At 39.0% G+C, this 23383-nt stretch overlaps 1 protein-coding gene and 1 pseudogene across 2 annotated transcripts in view, besides 1 other annotated feature; one reads left to right on the forward strand and one right to left on the reverse strand.

Annotated features, from left to right (window-relative positions):
• The window catches only part of RLN2 (relaxin 2), a 39463-nt gene that overhangs the window by 9328 nt on the left and 6752 nt on the right, over positions 1 to 23383 (reverse strand). The gene's annotated exons all lie outside the window — the stretch shown is intronic.
• HMGN2P31 (high mobility group nucleosomal binding domain 2 pseudogene 31) lies at positions 2240 to 3532 on the forward strand (annotated as a pseudogene).
• Positions 18060 to 18560: an enhancer, noted in NCBI's record as "NANOG-H3K27ac hESC enhancer chr9:5327251-5327751 (GRCh37/hg19 assembly coordinates)". NCBI's record gives its function as "activates a minimal SCP1, AML or CMV promoter by ChIP-STARR-seq in naive H9 embryonic stem cells {active_cell/tissue: H9 hESC(naive)}" and the evidence as "EXISTENCE:reporter gene assay evidence [ECO:0000049][PMID:30033119]".

Raw genomic sequence — 23383 nt, forward strand, 5'->3', positions numbered from 1 at the left:
GACAGAGGAGCCAGTTCAGACTGTATATAATGTGTTCTATGGTTCTCAGGATCTCTTTGCTACCTCTTCCCACATCCCTTCTCACTCTCTGCTCAGCGTTGATAGAAAATTAGTCTCTCTAATACAGAAATCATGATCCTTTTGTAACCCCTTCAGCTATTTCCCATTACCCCTAGCATGTAGTCTAAACTTCACAGCTGGCTTCTACAAGGTTCTTTAAGATCCCCTCTTCCTGTCTTCTCTCCAGGAGCATTTTCCTTTCCCTCTTCCACAACCCAGTCCTCAGTCCTACTCACTCCCTGACAGTTCCCCTACATTCCATGCCCTGGACCATCGGCCTTGCCACTCCCTTTGCCTTTCCCTGTCCCTCCTCCGCCTCTCTTTCTTTGCTTATTTTCTTTTCAAAAGCAGATCAAGCATCAACTACATGATGGATCTTTTGCTAACCATCTCTTACACACTCAGCACCGCCCATCCCAGTTCCTCTACAGTCTGTTCCTTTTATCACAGCACTCACAACTCCTTACTTGTAGGTCTTTCCTGCTAGACTGTGAGCTCTTTGGGGGCAGTGGCAAGCACACAGTGGCTGCTCAACACATCTGGGTTGAAGGAAATTTATAGATCTCATAATGAGGTGTGCGCAGCTTCCCTGGGGGTTGTGGGTGGAAGCATGGGAGCACCTAGAAGGCCCTGGCTACAGAGTATAAAATGAACTGAGTCCCCAGATTACTAGAACTAGGGAAAGGCAGAGCCCCTGTAATTAAAGACCCTGTGACACACAGTGAGGAGATCCAGGCTGCCACAGGAGCACCAATCTTAAGGTGAGTCACATCTTTGAGGAGGGGGAGTGGAGTAGTTGTGTTGGGTAAAAGAGGAATCCACAGGATTGTGGATGGGAGAGCAGGGTGCAGGAAGCAGGAGGAATATCTGTATTGGACTAAGGTCTAAGGAAGCAGGGTTTTAGAGAGGGCTTGGGGTTATCCCAGGGCAATCATGCCTAATTCCTCCCTCCACCAATTTTTTGCACCCTATTTAGTTCTGGTCTTTAGGTAGAGCAGGTTAGCTGCTTTAGCTCTTGCATTCTTTCCACTCTAGAAAGAGAACAAAACCACGAGATTCTTGTGTGTGAAGCTGTGTTTGTGTGTAGGACTTTTTGTTTTCAGTAATTTCATACCCTTCCTCCCTGTACCTCTCCCCTACACCCCTGCCCAAACTGCCAAGTTTCAAAGGACTTAGGATCTATACTTATTTCCTAGGAAAAAACTAACATTCCATTGAAGTTCCATTCCTATCATTTAGAGTCTCTTCCTCGCTAGGGTGACAGATCTTTCAGATCCCCCAATCGTGCATGGCTCCCATTCCCCATAGTGCATAGCTTCAATCGAACCTTTAATATTATTACCTTTTCTCTCCTTTCTGAACATATCAGTTATAACTCTTTTTGAACTATTTTTAGAGGTTGCCCAAGAATTTGCAATATACATTTACAATTAATCCAAGCCCACTTTCAAATAACACTAACTTACTTCACTGGAGTACAAGTGTTTTATAATAAAAAGTAATTCTAATTCCTCCCTTCCATTTCTTGTATCATTGCTGTCATTTATGTCACTTAAACAGAAACATACACTAAGATATATATAAGCATACATAATCTAATACATTGTTTCAACTATTATTTTGAACAAAGTGTTCTGTTTTATCAATTAAGAATAAGAAAAATAAAAATTTTTGTTTTACCTTCACTTATTCCTTCTCTGATAGGCTTCCTTTCTTGATTTAGATCTGAGTGTTTGCTCTGGAAAGCCCTACTTGCAGAAACAAATGTGGTTCTAGCAAGAGCTAGATCTCAGTCCAAGAATTCACCATGAGCTCATCTGGCTGGAGAAAAAAATGCACTCTAAGATGATAGGCCATCACCTGACTCAAATAATTGCTTCTTGACATACCATAACTTGCAACAAAGTGAAATCTCTAAGATTAGGAAAAACTGAAGATTGGACCAACAACAGGAGTAACTGAAGGTCAAAACCAAGATATTTTGAAGAATTTATTTCACATGTACAAGATGAGAGTGGGGGGCGGGGTATGTGTATGTGTGCATGTATATGAGTGCATGAGCAGACATGTGATGGGAGGAAGGACATAAACCTCACTGGAACTAATGTAGCTGATAGGGAAAACAGCCGGGGCTCTCATTGGACACATTCTTAATACAAGAATACAATTTTTAAGTACATCACCACTGCCAGCATGCCCAAGAGAAAGGCTGAAGGGGATGTTAAAGGAGATAAAGTCACGATGAAGGATGAACCACAGAGAAGATCATGAGGTTGTCTACTAAACCTGCTCCTCCAAAGCCAGAGCTCAAGCCTAAAAACGCCCATGCAAAGACAGGAGAGAAGATACCCATAGGGAAAAAGGGAAAAGCTGATGCTGGCAAGGAGGGGAATAACCCTGCAGAAAATGGAGACGCCAAAACAGACCAGGCACAGAAAGCCGAAGGTGCTGGAGATGCCAAGTGAAGTGTGTGCATTTTTGATAACTGTATACTTCTGGTGACTGTAGAGTTTGAAATATGATTTTTTTATCAAGTTTTATAAAAATGCAGAATTTTTTTTTTTAGTATTTTTTTTCTTTTTTTTTTATTATACCTTAAGTTTTAGGGTACATGTGCACATTGTGCAGGTTAGTTACATATGTATACATGTGCCATGCTGGTGCGCTGCACCCACTAACTCGTTCAAACAAATTTACAAGAAAAAAACAAACAACCCCATCAAAAAGTGGGCGAAGGACATGAACAGAATTTTATTTTACTTTTTTTTTAAGCTATGTTGTTAGCACACAGAACACTTCATTGTTTTTGGGGGAAGGGGCATATGTCACTAATAGAATGTCTCTGAAGCTGGATTGATGTGGGGAAAACACCTTTCCCTTCTAGTTTTGAGAGACTTCCTCTTGGCTCCCAAGAGGAGGGATCCCCTGATTTTGACACACATGGCCACCTTGGCACAAAGCCTTGTGGTATGGAAAAACAAATTCGTTTTATGTCTTCTTCTCCCTTTCCATCTTTCAGCGTAGACTTAACTCCCTTAAGCCTAGACATCTATTGGGACCTGACCCCCAATCATTGGTTACAAGTGTGTCAGGCAATCTGGACTTTCCAGTGATGCCACTGAGATGGCAGCTGTCAAAAGAGAAGTGGTTCCGTTTCTAGATTGTGGATCTTCAGATAAATTCTGCCATTTTCTTTTCACTTCCAGAAAGTCAGGGTCGGCTTGTGAAAAGTTGTTAAACAACATGCTAAATGTGAAATGTCAACCCTCACTTTAAACTTTCCCTGTTCAGAGCATAAGATGAATACTTCATTGGGTTTTATAGTGGCTTTCTAATTTTTGGTAGTCCGTTGAAGAAGGGAGTATAAAAGTTGTTGTATACTGTTAATGATTTTCTGCCCATGTCCTGCCTGAAATACCATGATTGTTTATGGAGAGTATCTTTAATAAAGCTGGATACAGTTTGCTTGGAAAAAAAAAAAGAATTGCTTGTGCTGCATCCCGTAAGTTTTGGTATGCTGTTTCTATTTTCATTTGTCTAAAAATATTTTTAATTTCCTTTTTATTTCCTTCTTTGACCCATTGTTTAGGAGGAGGGGGTCTAATTTCTACGTATTTTTGAATGTTCTGCAATTCCTTCTCCAAATTAACAATTTGATTTCTAGTTTCATGACATTGTGGTATCAAAAAATACTTGATATGATTTCAATTTTCTTAAATTTGTTAAGACTTGTTTTGTGACCTAACACATGATCTAGCATGAAAAATGTTTTGTGTGTGCATGAAAAGAATGTGTATTCTGCTGCTGTTGAATAGAATGGTCTGTATATGTCTGTTAGGTTCATTTGACCCAAAGTGTAGTTCAAGTCCAAGTTTCCTTATTTTCTATCTAGATGATTTTTGTGTTGCTGAAAGTGAGATACTGAAGTCTTCTGCTATTATTATATTGCACTCTATCTCTTCTGATCTATTAATATTTGTGTTATGAATATATAGATTCTCTGATGTTGAATGCATATGTATTTACTTTATATCTTCTTCATGAATTGACCTTTTTATCTCATTATATAATGACCTTCTTTATCTCATTTTAGTTTTTGACAATGTCTATTTTTCCTGATTTAAGCATAGCTACCACTGATTTCTTTCGGTTTCCCTTTGCATGAAGTATCTTTTTACAACCTTTCTATTTCAATCTATGTGTATTCTTAAAGGAGAAGCAAGTCTCTTGCAGAGAGCATAGAGTTGGGTCTTGTTTTTTAATCCATTCAGTGACTCTATGTCTTAAAAACTTTTTATTTTATTTAATTGACAAATAATAATTACATATATATTTATTGGGTACATTGTGACAATTTGATACATGCATACATTGTGAAATGATCAAATCAGGTTCATTAATATATTCATCACCTAATATATTTGTCATTTATTTTTGGTGAGAGCATTTGAAATCCACTTTTTATGACATCAGTAAGATAACCTAACTAGAAGCTCCCAATACTCACCACCACCCTCCCAAAGATAGCCAAAACAATAAGTAAGCAACTACATTTAGAAGAAAATAACTAAGGGAGGATGTTAGAATACATTAAAGGTGTATTAGAAACTCTGTAGTGTGCAGAAACCCAAGATGGCCACATAGACAACAGAAGGAAACACCTCACCTCCACCACCCTATCCCTACATCAGGATCAGTTGGAACCAGGGGGAAATTCTCCTTGCAGGGAAAAGGTAAGGAAGAGGACCACAGCAGCCCCCATCACCACCTTAGGCACCTACAGTCCTCACCTCTGGTGACCCCTGCAGTTCTCACAGGCACTAAGCCCAGCTGAGGGAACTCCCTGGAATCCACACAGCTACACTCCCCACAGAGGAGGAGAAAATACTCACCACTGTGACCCACGTGGCTACTGCATTTGAAATCAGAAACATTGTTGGAATGTGTCCTGTTCTGGGGATAGGTAGCCACAGTACACTTCCATCCCACCAGCTTTGTTGCTGTTGAACCGCCCCCAAATTGTTGCGCACCATCCACAAGCTGAGCTGCTGCTACATCCTATTTCTTGGGGCCAAGCTGCAGTGGAGATGCTCCACCCACCCCTCCAAGTTGCTTTTGGCCCTGCCCCGTGAAGGCTTGAGCTGAAATGGCACTCAGCCTCCTAAAGAATTGGCTCCTTGGCTGCTCAGGGCAGTCATGCACCCCCATTCCTGAATGGAAGCAGCACCTTGCCTCCAGGAAATCAGTGTCATGGCCAAACCCAATCAGTTGCACATCTCAGGGATGAGATGACATGGTATTTTACATCTTAGCTAAACAGAGCACTGACTGAGCTGGGTCACCTCACCCTACAGGTTGAATAATTGTAGTACCCTGCTTTCCTGGAACTGGACTAGCCCATTAGAGTATGAGCTGCTGAGATACTCCCATCCCCAAGGAATGGAATCATTGCAGCACTGCTCCCTTCCTTCCAGGGCCCAAGTGACATCTGCCCTCTGCTATTCCAGGGTCCTTGCTGCTGTCACACCTGGCTTCACAGAATCTGGGATACTTCTATGTCCCACTATCCCCAGGTCCAGAATCCCCACCATGCAGTCCCTCGTGTCCTGGGGCCTAAGTTGCAATGGTGCCCTATTGGCTCCGTTTCCCAAATTGCAGCTGTACCTTCTTTCTGGGTCCTAACCTTTAGCTGGGCCAATGCTATGCCATGCCTTCCAGAGTCAAAGTCTTTCCCTACTAAAGGCACTCTCTAAAGTTTGGAAGAAGTGCTGTTCCACCAGATGCACAGACATCAATGCAAGGACATAAGAACTATTAAAAAGCAAGAAACATGACACCAATAAAAGACAAGGTGCCAGTAACTGACCCCAAAGAAAAGGAAGTTTATGAGTTGCCTGAAAAGGAATTAAAAATAATAATCTTAAGGAAACTCAGATAGATCTGAGAGAATACAGATAGACAATTCAGCAAAATCAGGAAAGCAATTCGTCATCTTAATGAGAAATTCAATAAAGAAGAAAACAGAAATCTTAGAGCTCAAGAACTGAGTGAAGAAAATAAAAAATACAATAGAAAGCTTCAACAGCAGACTAGATCAAGCACAAGGAAGAAACTCTGCATTTGAAGATAGGTCTTATGAAATTACCCAATGAGAAGGAAAAAAAAAAACGAAAAGTGTGAAGACAGCCAATGGGACATACGGGACATCATTAAGCAAACAAACTTTTGCATTATGGGAGCTCTACAGGGAGAAGAGACAAATGTGCAGAAAGCTTATATAATGAAATAATTGCTGAAAACTTCCCAAGTTTTGAAAGAGATTTGAACATCCAGATTCAAGAAGCTCCAAAGTTCCTAAACAGATTGATCTCAAATAGGTCCTCTCCAAGTTGCATTACAACTAAACTGTCAAAAGCCGAAGACAAAGAGAATTTCAAAAGCAGCAAGAGAACAGCATCAAATCATATATGAGAGGATTCCCATTAGACTATCAGCAAATTTCTCAGCAGAAAACTTGCAGGTCAGGACAGATGAGATGATACATTCAAAGTGCTGAAAGAAAAAAATTTTCAGGTGAGAATACTATACTCAACAAAGCTATCCTTTAGAGATGAAGGAGAAATAAAGTCTTCCCCAGACAAACAAAAGAAGTTGAAGAAATTCATTACCACTATACCTGCCTTACAAGAAATGCTTAAGGGAGTCTTCAAGTGGAAATAAAAGGACACTAGTTACTAATATGAAGATATAAGAGAGTATCAAATTCACTGGTAAAGGTAAATACATAGTCAAATCCAAAATACTCTAATATTATTATGGTTCTCTGTTAAGTCATGTATATCTTTAGCATGAAGGTTAAAAACCAAAAGAGTCAAAAATAATAACTACAATAAGTTGTTAAGAAGCACATAATTTTTGAGTATATATTTGTACATCTGTACTTATTAAGTATATACTTATCATTGACATATATATGTATATATGTGCAAATAACATCTTTAGGACTTTCTTCTGCTTTTTTGTTATTACTTTTTTATTGTTTTCCTTTCACTGATTTCTCTTTTTTTTATTACACTTTAAGTTCTGAATGTACAGGTTTGTTACATAGGTATACACATGCCATGGTGGTTTGCTGCACCATCAACCCGATATCTACATTAGGTATTTCTTCAAATGCTATCCTCCCACTAGCCCCTCACCCCCTGAAAGGCCCTGTTGTGTGATGTTCCCCTCCTTGTGTCCATGTGTTCTCATTGTTCAATTCCCACTTTTATGAGTGAGAACATGCAGTGTTTGGTTTTCTGTTCCTGTGTTAGTTTGCTGAGAATGATGGTTTCCAACTTCATCCATATCCCTGCAAAGGACATGAGCTTATCCTTTTTTATGGCTGCATAGTATTCCATGGTGTATATGTGCCACATTTTCTTTATCCAGTCTATCATGGGTGGGCATTTGGGTTGGTTCCAAGTCTTTACTATTGTGAATAGTGCTGCGGTAAACATACATGTGCATGTGTCTTTATAGCAGAATGATTTATAATCCTTTGGGTATATACCCAGTAATAGGATTGCTGGGTCAAATGGTATTTCTGGTTCTAGATCCTTGAGGAGTCACCACACTGTCTTCCACAATGGCTGAACTAATTTAGAAATACATAATGTAAAAATATGTAAATTGTGAAATCAAAAATATAAATGAGGAAGTTTAAAGTCTAGAGTTGTTGTATGGGATTGAAATTAAGTTGCTATCAACACAAAAGAGTCTTATAACTGTAAGATGTTTTATGTAAGCCTCACAGTAACCAGAAAACAAAAGATAATAGCAGATACACAACTGATAAAGAGAAAGGAATCAAAACAGTACCACAGGAAAACATAAAATCACAAAGATAAACAACAAACAAAGGATCTATAAAATAACCAGAAAACAATTAACCAAATGGCAATAGTAACTCCTTACCTATCAATAATTACTTTGAATGTAAATGGATTAAATTCTCCAATCAAAATACATAAAGTGGCTGAATGGATAAAAAACCAAGATTCAACTACGTGCAGCTTACACAAAATACACTTTAAGAACACACATACCCTGGGAGGCTGAAACAGGAGAATTGCTTGAACCCAGGAGGCAGAGGTTGCAATGAGCTGAGACTGCATCATTGCACTCCAGCCTGGGCAACAGAGTGAGACTCTGTCTTAAAAAAAAAAAAATAGCTGGGCTACACTGAGAACGAAGAGCTCTGAGGGAGAACTGGCCCTACTAGATATTACACCCTATTTCAAAGCCTATATAGGTAAAGCAGTTGGTATTAGTACGAGAAAAAAACCGCACACACATTGTAATCAGTCAAAAGATGGTATTAAATTGAAAGAAAATATTTGCCACATCTATTACAAATACAAACAATGGTTCTAACATACAAAGACCTTTTTAAAATTGAGAGGGAAAAGACCAAAATTCTAGAGAAAAATGGGTAAAAGACACAAATTAGGCAACTTGCAAAAGATGTAAATTGGTCTGTGAACATGTCAAAAATGCTCAGTTGTATTTATAATAAGAGAAATGCAAACTAAAACCACACTAAGATACCATTTCTTACTCATTAGAATAGCAAAAATTTTCAACTTAATACACTGTTGACGAAGTGTGGGAGAGACACTCATCTATGCCAATGGGGTGGTGGGAATGCAAAATCGTACGACCCTTTTGGAAGAGAATTTCACAGTATTTAACAAAACTATGTGTGTGTGTGCGTGTGTGTGTGTGTGTGTGTGTCTGTATACACACAGTTAGAAATAGTAGAGACAGGGTTTCGCCACATTGGCCAGGCTGGTCTCAAACTTGTGACCTCAGGTGATCCGCCTGCCTTGGCCTCCCAAAGTACTGGGATTTACAGGCATGAGCTACTGCACCCAGTCAAAATTTCTGGATTTTAAAAATTATTTGCAACATTATAATAAGATGACTTCACCCTGCCACTTTTATTTTCTCCCTCAGTGAGTGAAGTCAGGATAAACAACATCCCTTTTTTGTTCCTCCTACCATGAACAAAGTAACAAGAAATAGCTGGTTGGAAAAATGAACATCTCGTAATAATATGAAATACATTTAAAAGCCTTCTATTTCCTACACCTCTTGGTGGTTTTTTTCTATGGTTACTGTGAAATATGTGGATTTTTAAAAATAGCTCTAGCAGTTAAATGATGCTGTAAAACCCCAATATGGTAAGTGTAAATAATTCTAACAGTAATTTCTTGTTACTATACCTTTCAAAGAAGTTTATTCTATAATTTAGTAAGGTCTCTTAACATTAATGTTTTTACTCAGCAACAGATATGGACCTTCTCAAAAAGAATCACAGAACAAGAGAATTAACAATCTTAATTTTCTTCTTACCTATTGATTGGTAAGAAAATGAGCTGTGCTGCTCATTTTCAACCTTTTGGATTCAGAAATTCTGTTACTTGTTTGTAGTTTTTGCTGAGGATTCTATTTTTTTTTAAATAAGCTGGGAACAGGATCAGCTAACTCAAGGAATTAAGTAATTTATTTCTAACAATGTTTAACCATTTGCTGATTTAAAGTTGAGCTACTATTTTTTCTGGGTTGATTCCAAAGAGAATAGATTTCCGTTTTAAAGATTTTTAAGATTGGCAATAAGAAAAGGGCCAATCAAATACAAATCTGTGCCCTCATGGAAATGAACACTGAAAACTATACCCAGATGTTTGATGATCTGGGAAGAAAAGCCTCTTAACCTTATAGTGAGATACATTCTCCTTCAGTTGGTGAATCTCTAGAAATGACCATCTCCCTAGCCCAGCATTCTATCTAGTGTTGCTCTTTTTATCATTAACACCAAGTTTCATACACATCCCTTTCCTAAGGAACTATAAACACGTTCACTGCAAGTAACCTTTGGGAAGTGAAAGTTTCAAAGGCAAAATGATCTAGATTTTTTGATGTGGTGACTAAGATTTCTTTAATTCCTGGGAAGCAATACAGGAAGCCTACATGACTTCCTGATGAACTGAGGGTGAGCAGGGAAGGCAGAGGAGGCAGACATATTTACCACTTTCTAACATAGCCATTGAGAAAAGAACAAGACGAATGGCTCAGGTGCAGGGAAATGAAGAACGAGGGAGAAAACATGAACTGAATGGAACGTCCCATGAGGATTTTTTATGAGAAGTTTTTTTTAATGTAACTTTTCATTTAGGAAAAAGTTCAAATATCAGATGCTATAAACAAAATTCACCATCCTCCAGTGGTAGTTAAATTCATGCACAAATACATTAAGCTGACAAACTTTTACTAGGGTTTGGGTAAAGTTACCGATATATGCTATAAATATATGAAACTATAAAATGAATCTCCTCTATGGGATCATTAGTCAAAGGCATGATGTTAGTTTATTTACAATAATTGGCAAGCAAGCAACTCAGTGAATTACTGGTATTTCAATTCTAGACTTCAATTCAGAAGCCACTGAAATCCTGGACAGTAGTTCTGACCATCTCTCTGTGTAAATAACTTTGCAGAATTATGGAGCAGGACTCATTAAGAAATAAGAATAACATTCTTTATGAAGTCAGAAAATATGGATTCATGTAGTAGAAAATAATAGAAGAGCAGGTGAAAGAAGCACCTTTAAAGATGTTCTTAAACTTAATTTTTTTATTTGATCAGATACCATTAAGAAATGCACTAAGGTTCATCCTCTAAGCTAACACTTTTTTTTTTTTTTTTAAGACGGAGTATCACTCTGTCACCCAGACCAGAGTGAGGTGGCACAATCTCGGTTCACTGCAACCTCTGCCTCCCGGATTCAAGCCATTCTCCTGCCTCAGCCTCCCAAGTAGTAAGGATTACAGGCACCTGCCACCACATCTGGCTAATTTTTGTAGTTTTAGTAGAGATGGGGTTTCACCGTGTGGGCCAGGCTGGTCTCAAACTCCTGATCTCAGGTGATCCGCCCTCCTCGGCCTCCCAATGTGCTGGGATTACAGGTGTGAGCCACCACACCCGGCAAACCTAACACTTTTAATTAAACTTTACAATTCTGAAAGAATCTCTCCAGTGAATTTTGGACACTAACAAGGACACAACAAAATTATTTATTTTTTAATTTTTTGACACAGGGTGCCACTCTGTCGCCTAGGCTGGAGTGCAGTGTCATGATCTCGGCTCACTGCAACCTCCACCTCTCAGGTTCAAGTGATTCTCCTGCCTCAGCCTCCTAAGTAGCTGGAACGACAGGTGTGTACCACCACACGCGGCTACGTTTTGTGTTTTTAGTAGAGATGGAGTTTCACCATGTGGGCCAGGCTGCTCTCAAACTTCTGACCTCAGGGGATCCGCCCACCTCAGCCTCCCAAAGTGCTGGGATTATAGGCATGAGCCACCATGCCCAGCCACACAAAAATAATTTAAATGAAACATTTTCACATATGAAAAGTTATTTTTAGTATTGCATTTAAAGACTCTTTATATTCAGAGGGCATTTAAAAATACTAAATAAAGACTTTTTGAAGAAGCACACAAACCTGGAAGAAAGATAGTTCTGTCTTCTAGCTACTCTGTGCTGGAAGACTGGGTAGAAATGATGAATTTTATCATTATCATCTGAATGTAACAGATGGAAGCCAGCTATGGATAAATCTACAACTGCAACAAAGACTGGAACAATTTATCTCATCAAAATTAGGCAGCACTTCATTTTCAGTGAGTTGAAGAATCACAACATGATTCTCATCTTAAAATTATACAGTTCAATGTGATTCATACTTCACAGTAACAATAAAGGCAAACATAAGACTATTCTTCTACTAAAGCAGAATTTTTGAAAATCACAGTTTTAACCAAAAGTTTAAATTCCAATCTTACTTTCTCATATGAGTAAATTTTGATGCTGGAAGCAAATATTTTAGTGGTAAGTATGAATGTGAAGGCCACAAAACAAAATTGTAGGCTTCCTCCTAGTGGCAACAGATTGAACCAACCCATTAGAAAATGAGCTCATGGACTTTCTTCCAGGTAAGATCAAAGAAGTGAGTGTGCTTATTACCTCATCTTGCACATGGCTTTCCCCTCATTTTATTCACGTTTTTATTCAAATACTTCTTTCCCAAAGACAGCTCTTCCCTGACTCTCCATCCAGCCTTAATGTTCATCATAGCACTTAGCTTGATTTACACTTTGTATTTCTTTAGATACTGTCTGTCATTTTTACTAAATGTAGGCTGTATATGAGCAGTGACTGAGCACAATTCTGTGTCCCAATCACCTTAGATAAGTGTTAATCAAATATTTGTTGAAAAAAGGAAGGAAATAAGGCAGGAAGGAAGGAGGGATGGAGGGAAGGGATGCAGGGTGGGGGGAAGCAATGGAGAAAAAGAGGAAGAAAAAGGAGGGAAGAGGGAGGGAGGGAAGAAGGAAGCAAGCAATGGTCTGTGGCTTGGAGGCATCTGCCTAAACACATGCACTGTGGCTAAGGAAAAAGGAGAAAGCAAGAACACTGCAAGCAGCTGTCCCAGGTGCTGCCCTCAGGTCACTGAACTTACAGAGCATAAAGATACAGGGAGCATTGGCTGCCCTTGGTGTCAGCTGTGCTCAGTACACTGGAGTTTGTGAGCTTGCTCCTCTTCTCTATCTCTAGCTTTGAGGCAGCCCTGAGAACGATGGTCACTTTCTTCTCCTCCTTATTTCCTTTTATTTCAAAACTAGAACAGGAAGGTATAGAATTTGAAGGAGGACATAGCTGAGATCTGTGCAAATAGGAACTCTGTAGCTTGGTGCCCAAATCCGAATGGATGGGTACAGCAAAGCCTGAACCACACTGAGGAGTAGAGCAGGTAGATTAGGATATCAGTGGATGGACAGCAAAACGGGAGCAGACAATGAATAAGATCCCTTCCAAGTGGGAGCTTCTCTTTGTGACTCTGGGAAAGCTGATAGGGCAGCAGCTGCACCCTTACCACTCAGCAACCCCCAAAGGAGAAACATCAGGGGTGAGTTACCCTCCAGCAGGGCTTTACTGCTCAGATTTAGGAAGGTGAGAAACCTGCTGCCCAGTCATAGGACTGCAGCATGCCAGGGACCCTCCAGAAGCAATATGCTTTTAATCACAGATGAAAAGTATTTAATAGTTACTGAACTACATAAAAACAACGACAAGCAATCCAAGGAGAGAAGTTAATTCTGTTAAGCCAACCAAGTGACACAAGGTTTTGCCTGTAGGAAGGAAAACAGAGAAGCAAGCTGTGATCTTCCTTTTTTTTGTAGCAAGTGCTTTGAATCTCCTTGGAGAAGGAAGTCCACAGAGAACAATTTGATTTCTAAGTGAGTAATAATTAGATGCTCTAAGTTTTCAATTTGATAAAGCTACAAACATCCTGGCATTTCTTCTCCACTGCATCCCAACCCACAATAGAATATGGGGGTATAAAGCCTTTGGGATCCTCTCACTGGAGATGTCCATATCTGAGATACCTCATTTTACATCATAAAGCTTTGAGGAAATTATATCATGTTTAAAGACTTTTTAAAAGAAGGCGCCACATGATGTTATAATATTGGGTAGCATTTTACCACCAAGTAGTGATGGGATCAGAACAAGTCATCCCAAAATATGCCACTTTGATGTATTATTTTGAGCTAAAAGAAACTGAGAACCAGTCAATGCAGAAAAAGCACTTCGCCTCCCCATCTGCTTAAAGTATAATTTCCCATTTGTAAAGGACATTTTTATTAGTAAATGTATCTATCTTTGCCAGAAAGAGAGTTACTCATAGATAACTTTTTCTCACTGGAGAGACTTTTATCTGCATAGCAAGGTAACCTTTATTCACCACACATTTCCTCCTCTCGCCTTCCCACAATTCATCTCTACCACTCCCCAGTACCCCCAAATCCTTATTCCTATTCCTTACTCTAGCTTAAGATAGTATCTGTCTCAGTCATCTGGCTGCTTCCTGGAGTCTCATATTTTGGTGGGACTCCTGTGCATATGTGAGTAATTAAATGTTTTTTTCTCCTTTTAATCTGTCTAATATCAATTTAATTCATAGACCAGCCAAAAAACCTCAAAGGGTACACAGAAGCAATTTTCCCTCTCCTACAGTAGTTTTTCTCCTAATAAAATATATAAAGAAAACAAATTCCTTGTCATCATCATTATTTCATCTTATATAACTTCTGTTATATAAGGTTACTTGTTCTTCCCTTTTATATGGCTCAATAGGCAGATTTTTTCCCTTTTCTTTAGAGTTGTGCATTTTTAGGGTGTCCAGTCCTTGCAACTGACTGTTCTTGAATATGAAAGCTCTAATTGCTGTACTTATTAAAGGTACACAGCAACAAACTATTACTTAGAAATGAATTGATTTTCAGAGGTTTTAAAATATCTAACCTAATAGAATTTCCCTTACTTGTAAGTGTACTAATGTCTTTAAATATGCAAATGTTTAAATACTAAAAATATATGCAAAATATGGAATTAAAATACACAGGCCAGGCACGGTGGCTCATGCCTGTAATCCCAGCAATTTGGGAGGCCGAGGTGGATGGATTCACTTGAGGTCAGGAGTTCAAGACCAACCTGGCCAACATGGCTAAACTGCGTGTCTACTAAAAATACCTAAGGTTAGCCAGGTGTGTTGATATGTGCCTGTAGTCCCAGCTACCCAGGAGGCTGAGGAAGGAGAATCACTTGAACCCAAAGGCAGAGGTTGCAGTGAGCCAAGATCACACCACTGCACTCCAGTCTGGGCAACAGAGTAAGACTCTGTCTCAAAATAAATAAATAAATAAATAAAAGATGTAATTCCAATCAGCTCTTAAGGTGGTGGTAGTCATTTTTATTGTTATATGTGCAAAAAAAATCACCAATATTTGTGGGTAGATTAGCAGTTACTAATGTTAAAGTGCAGGGTCTACAGCTGAAGTTCTCCTTGTGTTTTTTACTTGTTTATGTACATTAAAAAGAAAATATATAATCACAGATAGATTTTCCAAGAGAGGAAAATTACGCATAATCCCCACTCAATATAACTTCTAATACTCAGAGGTCTTCATATTCAAAATTCCCTCAAAACAAATGTGGCTTCAAATTGTGGGGTGCATAACTGAAAATAATCATTTTACATTATAATTTGACATTTAAGTCATGTAAAATGATTTAAAAATCAGACCAAGTGTAAAATAAATTCCAATTCCAATGACATAATCCTATTACCATAATGAAATAAATCCCTAACCTGATGGTCCCTGTATTTCTAATTTGTCTTTGGTAAATATACTTGAACTGAACCTAACCAGGAATTTAACATCATAAACCTACCAAACAGATTCAAAGATAACACAAAATTTGTGTTTACTGAACATCATCCAAATATTTCTTCTTCTAAGAAAAGCACTGAGTAAAATAATTTGAACCACCAGAACATATAAATATTATAAAAGTACGCAACCTTGCCTTTTCACCTTTATATCCTCATTGAATAGTACAGAGGCTGGCGTATTATTATTGTGTAATAAGCATGGAATAAGTAAACCAGTATTATTCTCTTTGGGGTTCTATCCTTAACATAAACAAAGGTGAAGACACAAATAAAAAACTCAACATATTCAATTGCACTGCTATTCAGCCATATGATGTAATTCCAACGTAATTTTTCCAGAAATATTCTGAGGCGTTGCTTTGCAAATTCATGCCTAAGTATAAGGATAAGTGTAGGAGAAGTGGGGTGTTGGGAAACTTTACCCTCAAAAACCCCAGAAACCAAGTTAGATAAGATCTTAAGACAGTTGGCTTAAAAATAATAATATAACATTTTTACTTTAAAATTTTATTTTTTAAGGAAAAATAACTGCTATTGCTGGCCTTAATTATTACTATTATTTTGTGGGGACAGGTGGCCGATAGGGGAATTTAAGGCTGTCATTTGCAAGTATACAAGCTTAGTGTTCCATTACCCAGTCTACACAAGACACAGGACTATAAGCTCAAGTCACAGAAACTACTGGAAGTCCATCAAAGACATAAAGAAATAAGAAAGGCAACAAGAATTTTAAAAATAGGAAAGGCTAGAAAAAAAAACTAGATTATGCTTTTCTAGAAAACTGCATTAATTTGTTCACATTAAAACTTTGTCTAACACTATTTTGTTTTGCATGGCACTCAGAATGAGGTAAATACACAATAGAACAAACAAGAGAGCTTAATAAAGCAATAGAGAGAACTCGTAATTAAGATTGTTAACCTCTAGCACAGTTCTATGGCCTGTATCACAAAGAAAGATTAGAAATGACTACAATATACCAAATAAGCTTCACAGATGAACAGGAAGACTTGGTCTCAAAAAAATATCTTTTAAGCAGAGCCTTTCATCTAAAAACAAGATATACTACTTATAAATAAAATAAGCCAGCATTATTCACTTCGGTTTGATGTAAATTTGTTAATTGTTATATGAGGAAAATGGGTATTCACAAGCCAATATCATCTTAATTTATGTTCTAGGTGAAGACAAGGGTTGTAGTTCTATAAATTCTTTAAGGTTGCAATATCTATATCTGAAAGGTGACATCAATTTTTTTTTAATTTTTCCTTCCCAAAGGCGATGTCAAGGGAACATCAATTCTATTGTGGAAGCAGCTTCTCTGTTGTAAAATCCATGTAACACACTGGAAAGTTCTTTTCTCTTTAGTCAACAGACACTTGTCTCATTTCAAGTGTGGATTTTTTTAAATTACCACAGTTATAATGAAGTCTGACCCAAAAATTTAATTTGTAATTATGGCATGTATTAAAGCAGTTTAGGAGCATCACATTCAATCTAAAATTGCTAGAAACCTTGTTACAGTTTAATAAACAATTATTTTAAAATGGACCTTTTTAGTGTTCCTTATAAATGCAGGTTTCTGTTAAATTTTTTAAAATTGTTTATAACAAAAACACAAACATACCATTATTTTGTTTGAGTAGTGTCAATGGTAACCTCAAGGGATGAAAAGGCACCCAGGGGCTGACAGTAGCAGGAAACCATTAACTCTTTTAGGCTAGAAGGGGAAGAAGGAAACAGTATTAAGCAGATCCAGTGACAGGTGGAGCCACTGAAGTGGTACTGCCTAAAAGGATCTGTGGCTTAGGAACCCACTGCCATAGGCAGACCACATACCTAAACTCACTGTCTCCCCACCCTAAAGACTCCTGCTGGTACCCAGACTGGCTGATCTCCATCAGAAGCCAGAGTGTGGGAGCCTGGGAAATGCAGTGTGGAGGGTCAGACTCAGAGCATAGGGCAGTGATGGACAAGGAAGAGCAGGGTATGGAGGAGCCAGGTGGGGACAAGGGGGGAGGGCATCAAACAGAGAATGCCCAGGTCTCCACCTGATTTATGTCAAATAGTGATCTGAATCAGCATGACAGACTATTTTTAGCGTTCTTGTTTAAATCAGCTTCAAAATTTTTATAAAGTGTAAAAGGAGGACAGGAAAATTAAGTCCTTAATGTTTTTTAAATTTAGGAAGAAATGATGGTTAGCACAAATCAGAATTAGTTGTAAAGTAAATACTAAGTATTGAAATAGAAGGCAAATGTCTTGACAAGAAAAAATTGATAACAGAAATGAGGAAGGGGCATTAAAAATATAAAATAAAAAACTGGTCACTTCCAAATGGCCCAATAGGAACAGCTCCAGTCTGCAACTCCCAGTGAGATTGATGCAGAAGACAGGTGATTTCTGCACTTCCAACTGAGGTGCCTGGTTCATTTCACTGGAACTGGTTGAACAGTGGGGGCAGCCCACAGAGGGTGAGCTGAAGCAGGGCGAGGTGTCACCTCACCCGGGAAATGCAAGGTTGGGGAGGATTTCCCTTTCCTAGCCAAGGGAAGCCATAACAGACTGTAGCTGGAGAAAGGGTACACTCATGACCAAATAGTGCCCTTTTCCAACAGTCTTAGCAACCGCAGACCAGGAGATACCCTCCTTTGCCTGGCTAGGCAGGTCCCATGCCCAAGGAGCCTTGCTCACTACTAGCGCAGCAGTCTGAGATCGACCGGCTACGCAGCAGCTTGATGGGGGGAGGGGCATCCACCATTGCTGAGGCTTGAGTAGCTCACAGTGTAAACAAAGAGGCTAGGAAGCACAAACTGGGTGGAGTCCACCGCAGCTCAACAAGGCCCACCAGCCTTTGTAGACTCCACCTCTAGCGGCAGGGCATAGTAGAACAAAAGGCAGCAGACAACTTCTGCAGACTTAAACGTCCCTGTCTGACAACTCTAAAGAGAGCAGTGGTTCTCTCAGCACGGCATTCGAGCTTTGGGAATGGACAGACTGCCTCCTCAAGCAGGTCCCTGACCCCTGTGTAGCCTGACTGGGAAACACCTCCCAGTAGGGGCTGACAGACACTTCAAACAGGCAGGTGCCCCTCTGGGATGAAGCTTCCAGAGGAAAGATCAGGCAGTAATATTTGCTGTTCTGTAGCCTCCACTGGTGATACCCAGGCAAATAGGTTCTAGAGTGGACTTCTGGCAAACTCCAACACACCTGCAGCTGAGGGGTCTGACTGTTAGAAGGAAAACTAATAAACGGAAATGAATAGCATCAACATCAACAAAAAGGACATCCACAACAAAACCCCATTTGTAGGTCACCAACATCAAAGACCAAAAGTAGATAAAACCGCAAAGATAGGGAGAAACCAGAGCAGAAAAGCTGAAAATTCCAAAAAACAGAGCACCACTTCTCCAAAGGATCACACCTTCTCAGCAGCAAGGGAACAAAACTGGACAGAGAATGAGTTCGACAAGTTGACAGAAGTAGGCTTCAGAAGGTTGGTAATAACAAACTTCTCCTAGCTAAAGGAGCATGTTCTAACCCATCCCAAGTAAGTTAAAAACCTTGAAAAAAAGTTAGACGAATGGCTAACTAGAATAAACAGTGTAGAGAAGATCTTAAATGACCTGATGGAGCTGAAAACCATGCCATGAGAACTTCGTGACGCATGCACAAGCTTCAATTGCTGATTCGATCAAGTGGAAGAAAGGATATCAGTGATTGAAGATCAAATTAATGAAATAAAGTGAGAAGACAAGATTAGAGAAAAAAGAGTGAAAAGAAATGAACAAAGCCTCCAAGAAATATGGGACTATGTGAAAAGAACAAATATACGTTAGTTTGGTGTACTGGAAGTGACGGGGAGAATGGAACCAAGTTAGAAAACACTCTTCAGGATATTATCCACGAGAACTTCCCTAATCTAGCAAGGCAGGCCAACATTCAAATTCAGGAAATACAGAGACCACCACAAAGATACTCCTCGAGAAGAGCAACCCCAAGACACATAATTGTCAGATTCACCAAGGTTGAAATGAAGGAAAAAATGTTAAGGGCAGCCAGAGAGAAAGGTCAGGTTACCAACAAAGGGAAGCCCATCAGACTAACAGCGGATCTCTCGGCAGAAACTCTACAAGCCAGAGGAGAGCGGGGGCCAATATTCAACATTCTTAAAGAAAGAATTTTCAACCATCAGCTAGAATTTTCAACAATCAGAATCTCATATCCAGCCAAACTAAGCTTCATAAGTGAAGGAGAAATAAAATCCTTTACAGACAAGAAAATGCTGAGAGATTTTGTCACCATCAGGGCTGCCTTACGAGATTTCCTGAAGGAAGCACTAAACATGGAAAGGAACAACCAGTACCAGCCACTGCAAAAACGTGCCAAATGGTAAAGACCATCAATGCTATGAAGAAACTGCATCGGCCGGGTGCGGTGGCTCACGCCTGTAATCCCAACACTTTGGGAGGCCGAGGCGGGTGGATCATGAGGTCAGGAGATCGAGACCATCCTGGCTAACAAGGTGAAACCCCGTCTCTACTAAAAATACAAAAAATTAGCCGGGCGCGGTGGCGGGCGCCTGTAGTCCCAGCTACTCGGGAGGCTGAGGCAGGAGAATGGCGTGAACCCGGGAAGCGGAGCTTGCAGTGAGCCGAGATTGCACCACTGCAGTCCGCAGTCCGGCCTGGGCGACAGAGCGAGACTCCATCTCAAAAAAAAAAAAAAAAAAAAGAAAAGAAACTGCATCAATTAACAGGCAAAATAACCAGCTAACATCATAATGATGGGATCAAATTTAAACATAACAATATTAACCTTAAATGTAAATGAGCTAAATACCCCAACTAAAAGAGACAGACTGGCAAACTGGATAAAGAGTCAAGACCCCTTGGTGTGCTGTATTCAGGAGACCCATCTCATGTGCAAAGACACACATAGGCTCAAAACAAAGGGATGGAGGAAGATCTACCAAGGAAACGGAGAGAAAAAAAAAAATGCAGGAGTTGCAATCCTAGTCTCTGATAAAACAGACTTTAAATCAACAAAGATCAAAAGAGACAAAGAAGGCCACTACATAATGGTAAAGGGATCAATTCACCAAGAAGAGCTCACTATCCTAAATATATATGGACCCAATACAGGAGCACCCAGATTCATAAAACAAGTCCTTAGAGACATATAAAGAGACTTAGACTCCCACACAATAATAATGGGAGACTTTAACACCCCACTGTCAATAATAGACAGATCAATGAGACAGAAGGTTAACAAGGATATCCAGGACTTGAACTCAGCTCTGCACCAAGCAGACCTAATAGACATCTACAAAATTCTACACCCCAAATCAACAGAATATACATTCTTCTCAGCACCTCATCGCATTTATTATAAAATTGACCACATAATTTGTAGTAAAACACTCCTCAGCAAATGCAAAAGAACAGATATCACAACAAACTGTCTCTCAGACCACAGTGCAATCAAATTAGAACTCAGGATTAAGAAACTCACTCAAAACTGCACAACTACATGGAAACTGAACAACCTGCTCCTGAATGACTACTGGGTAAGTAACGAAATGAAGGCATAAATAAAGAAGTTCTTTGAAACCAATGAGAACAAAGACACAATGTACCAGAATCTCTGGGACATTTTAAAGCAGTGTGTAGAAGAAAATTTATAGCACTAAATGCCCATAAAAGAAAGCAGGAGAGATCTAAAATTGACACTCTAACATCACAATTAAAAGAATTAGAGAGGCCGGGTGTGGTGGCTCACGCCTGTCATCCCAGCACTTTGGGAGGCAGAGGAGGGCAGATCACGAGGTCAGGAGATCGAGACCATCCTGCCTCACACAGTGAAACCCCATCTCTACTAAAAATACAAAAAATTAGCCAGGCATGGTGGCGGGGGCCTGTAGTCCCAGCTACTCTGGAGGCTGAGGCAGGAGAACGGCATGAACTGGGGAGGCAGAGCTTGCAGTGAGCCAAGATCACACCACTGCACTCCAGCCTGGGCGACAGAGCAAGACTCCATCTCAAAAAAAAAAAAAAAAAAGAAAAAAGAAGAAGAAGAATTAGAGAGGCAAGAGCAAACAAATTCAAAAGCTAGCTAGCAGAAGGCAAGAAATAACTAAGATCAGAGCAGAACTGAAGGAGATAGAGAGACAAAAAAAAAAAAAAAACCTTCAAAACATCAATGAATCCAGGAGCTGGTTTTTTGAAAAGATCAACAAAATAGATAGACCACTAGCAACACTAATTAAGAAGAAAAGAGAGAAGAATCAAAGAGATGCAATGAAAAATGATAAAGGGGGTATCACCACTGATCCCACAGAAATACAAACTACCATCAGAGAATACTATGAACACCTCTACGCAAATAAACTAGAAAATCTAGAAGAAATGGATAAATTCCTGGACATGTATACCCTCCCAAGACTAAACCAGGAAGAAGTTGAATCTCTGAATACACCAATAACAGGTTCTGAAATTGAGGCAATAATTAATAGCCTACCGACCAAAAAATGTCCAGGACCAGATGGATTCACAGCCAAATTCTACCAGAGGTATAAAAAGGAGCTGGTACCATTCCTTCTGAAACTATTTCCATCAACAGAAAAAGAGGGAATCCTCCCTAACTCATTTTATGGGGCTAGCATCATCCTGAAAGCCTGGTAGAGACACAATAAAAAAAGAGATTTTAGGCCAATACCCTGATGAACATCGATGAGAAAATCCTCAATAAATCACGCTACTATAAAGACACATGCACACATATGTTTATTGTGGCACTATTCACAATAGCAAAGACCAACCCAAATGTCCATCAATGATAGACTGGATTAAGAAAACGTGGCACATATACACCATGGAATACTATGCAGCCATAAAAAAGGATGAGTTCATGTCCTTTGCAGGGACATGGATGAAGTTGGAAACCATCATTCTAAGCAAACTCTCACAAGAACAGAAAACCAAACACTGCATGTTCTCACCCATAGGTGGGAATTGAACAATGAGAACACATGGACACAGGGTGGGGAACATCACACACAGGGGCATCTAGGGGGGTGGGGGGCTGTGGGAGGGATAGCATTAGGAGAAATACCTAATACAAATGATGAGTTGATGGGTGCGGCAAACCAACATGGCACATATATACCTGTGTAACAAACCTGCACGTTGTGCACATGTACCCTAGAACTTAAAGTATAATAAACAAACAAAGAAAAATAAATAAATAAACTGGTGCAACCTCTTTGGAGGGCACAATTTTGCAGTATCTATTAATATGAAAAATGTATTTATCCTTGACTAAGTAATTCCCATTCTAGAAATGTATATTATGAAAATACATGCACAGTATGCAAATGTATACAAGTATAAGGGTGTCCATTGTAGTATTATTTGTGTTAATGAAAAAAATGGGATGAAGGCAAATGTCTATTATAAGAGATAGGATAAAAAATTTAGTGTATACTCATATATTGAAATAATATTAAGTCAATTAAAAAAACAAAACTGATCTACGTGTGTGGAAATGAAATTATTTCCCAATTTAATTTGTTGAAATTTTAAAAAGTAAGACTCACAGTGGTGTGCAGGTGTACTCCCTTTTTTATAAGGAAAGATGCATATATGTACATATGTTTGTATGTGCAGAAGTAGACTGGCTTTCATTTTTATACGCTTTTGTACTCTGAAGCTTTCTATATGAAGTGCATGTATTACTTTTTCAATAAAAAATCTAATCAATAAAAGATTTTTAAAAATTGAATAAAGAAATTTATAGGACAAACCAAACCCTAGCAGAAAAAATAGTATTGTCCCCTGGATAACTGGTGCTGGAAGCCTGGCTAGAAATAAGGTTTATTTTGTTGAATTTACATCATTATTGGTCTCAATGTAACACATGGAAGGTGGCATTGGATAATTTTAAACAGACAGCAGATTGGAACAATTTATTTCACCAAT

The sequence above is a fragment of the Homo sapiens genome, chromosome 9 (assembly GCF_000001405.40).
Source record: "Homo sapiens chromosome 9, GRCh38.p14 Primary Assembly".
NCBI lineage: Eukaryota > Metazoa > Chordata > Mammalia > Primates > Hominidae > Homo > Homo sapiens.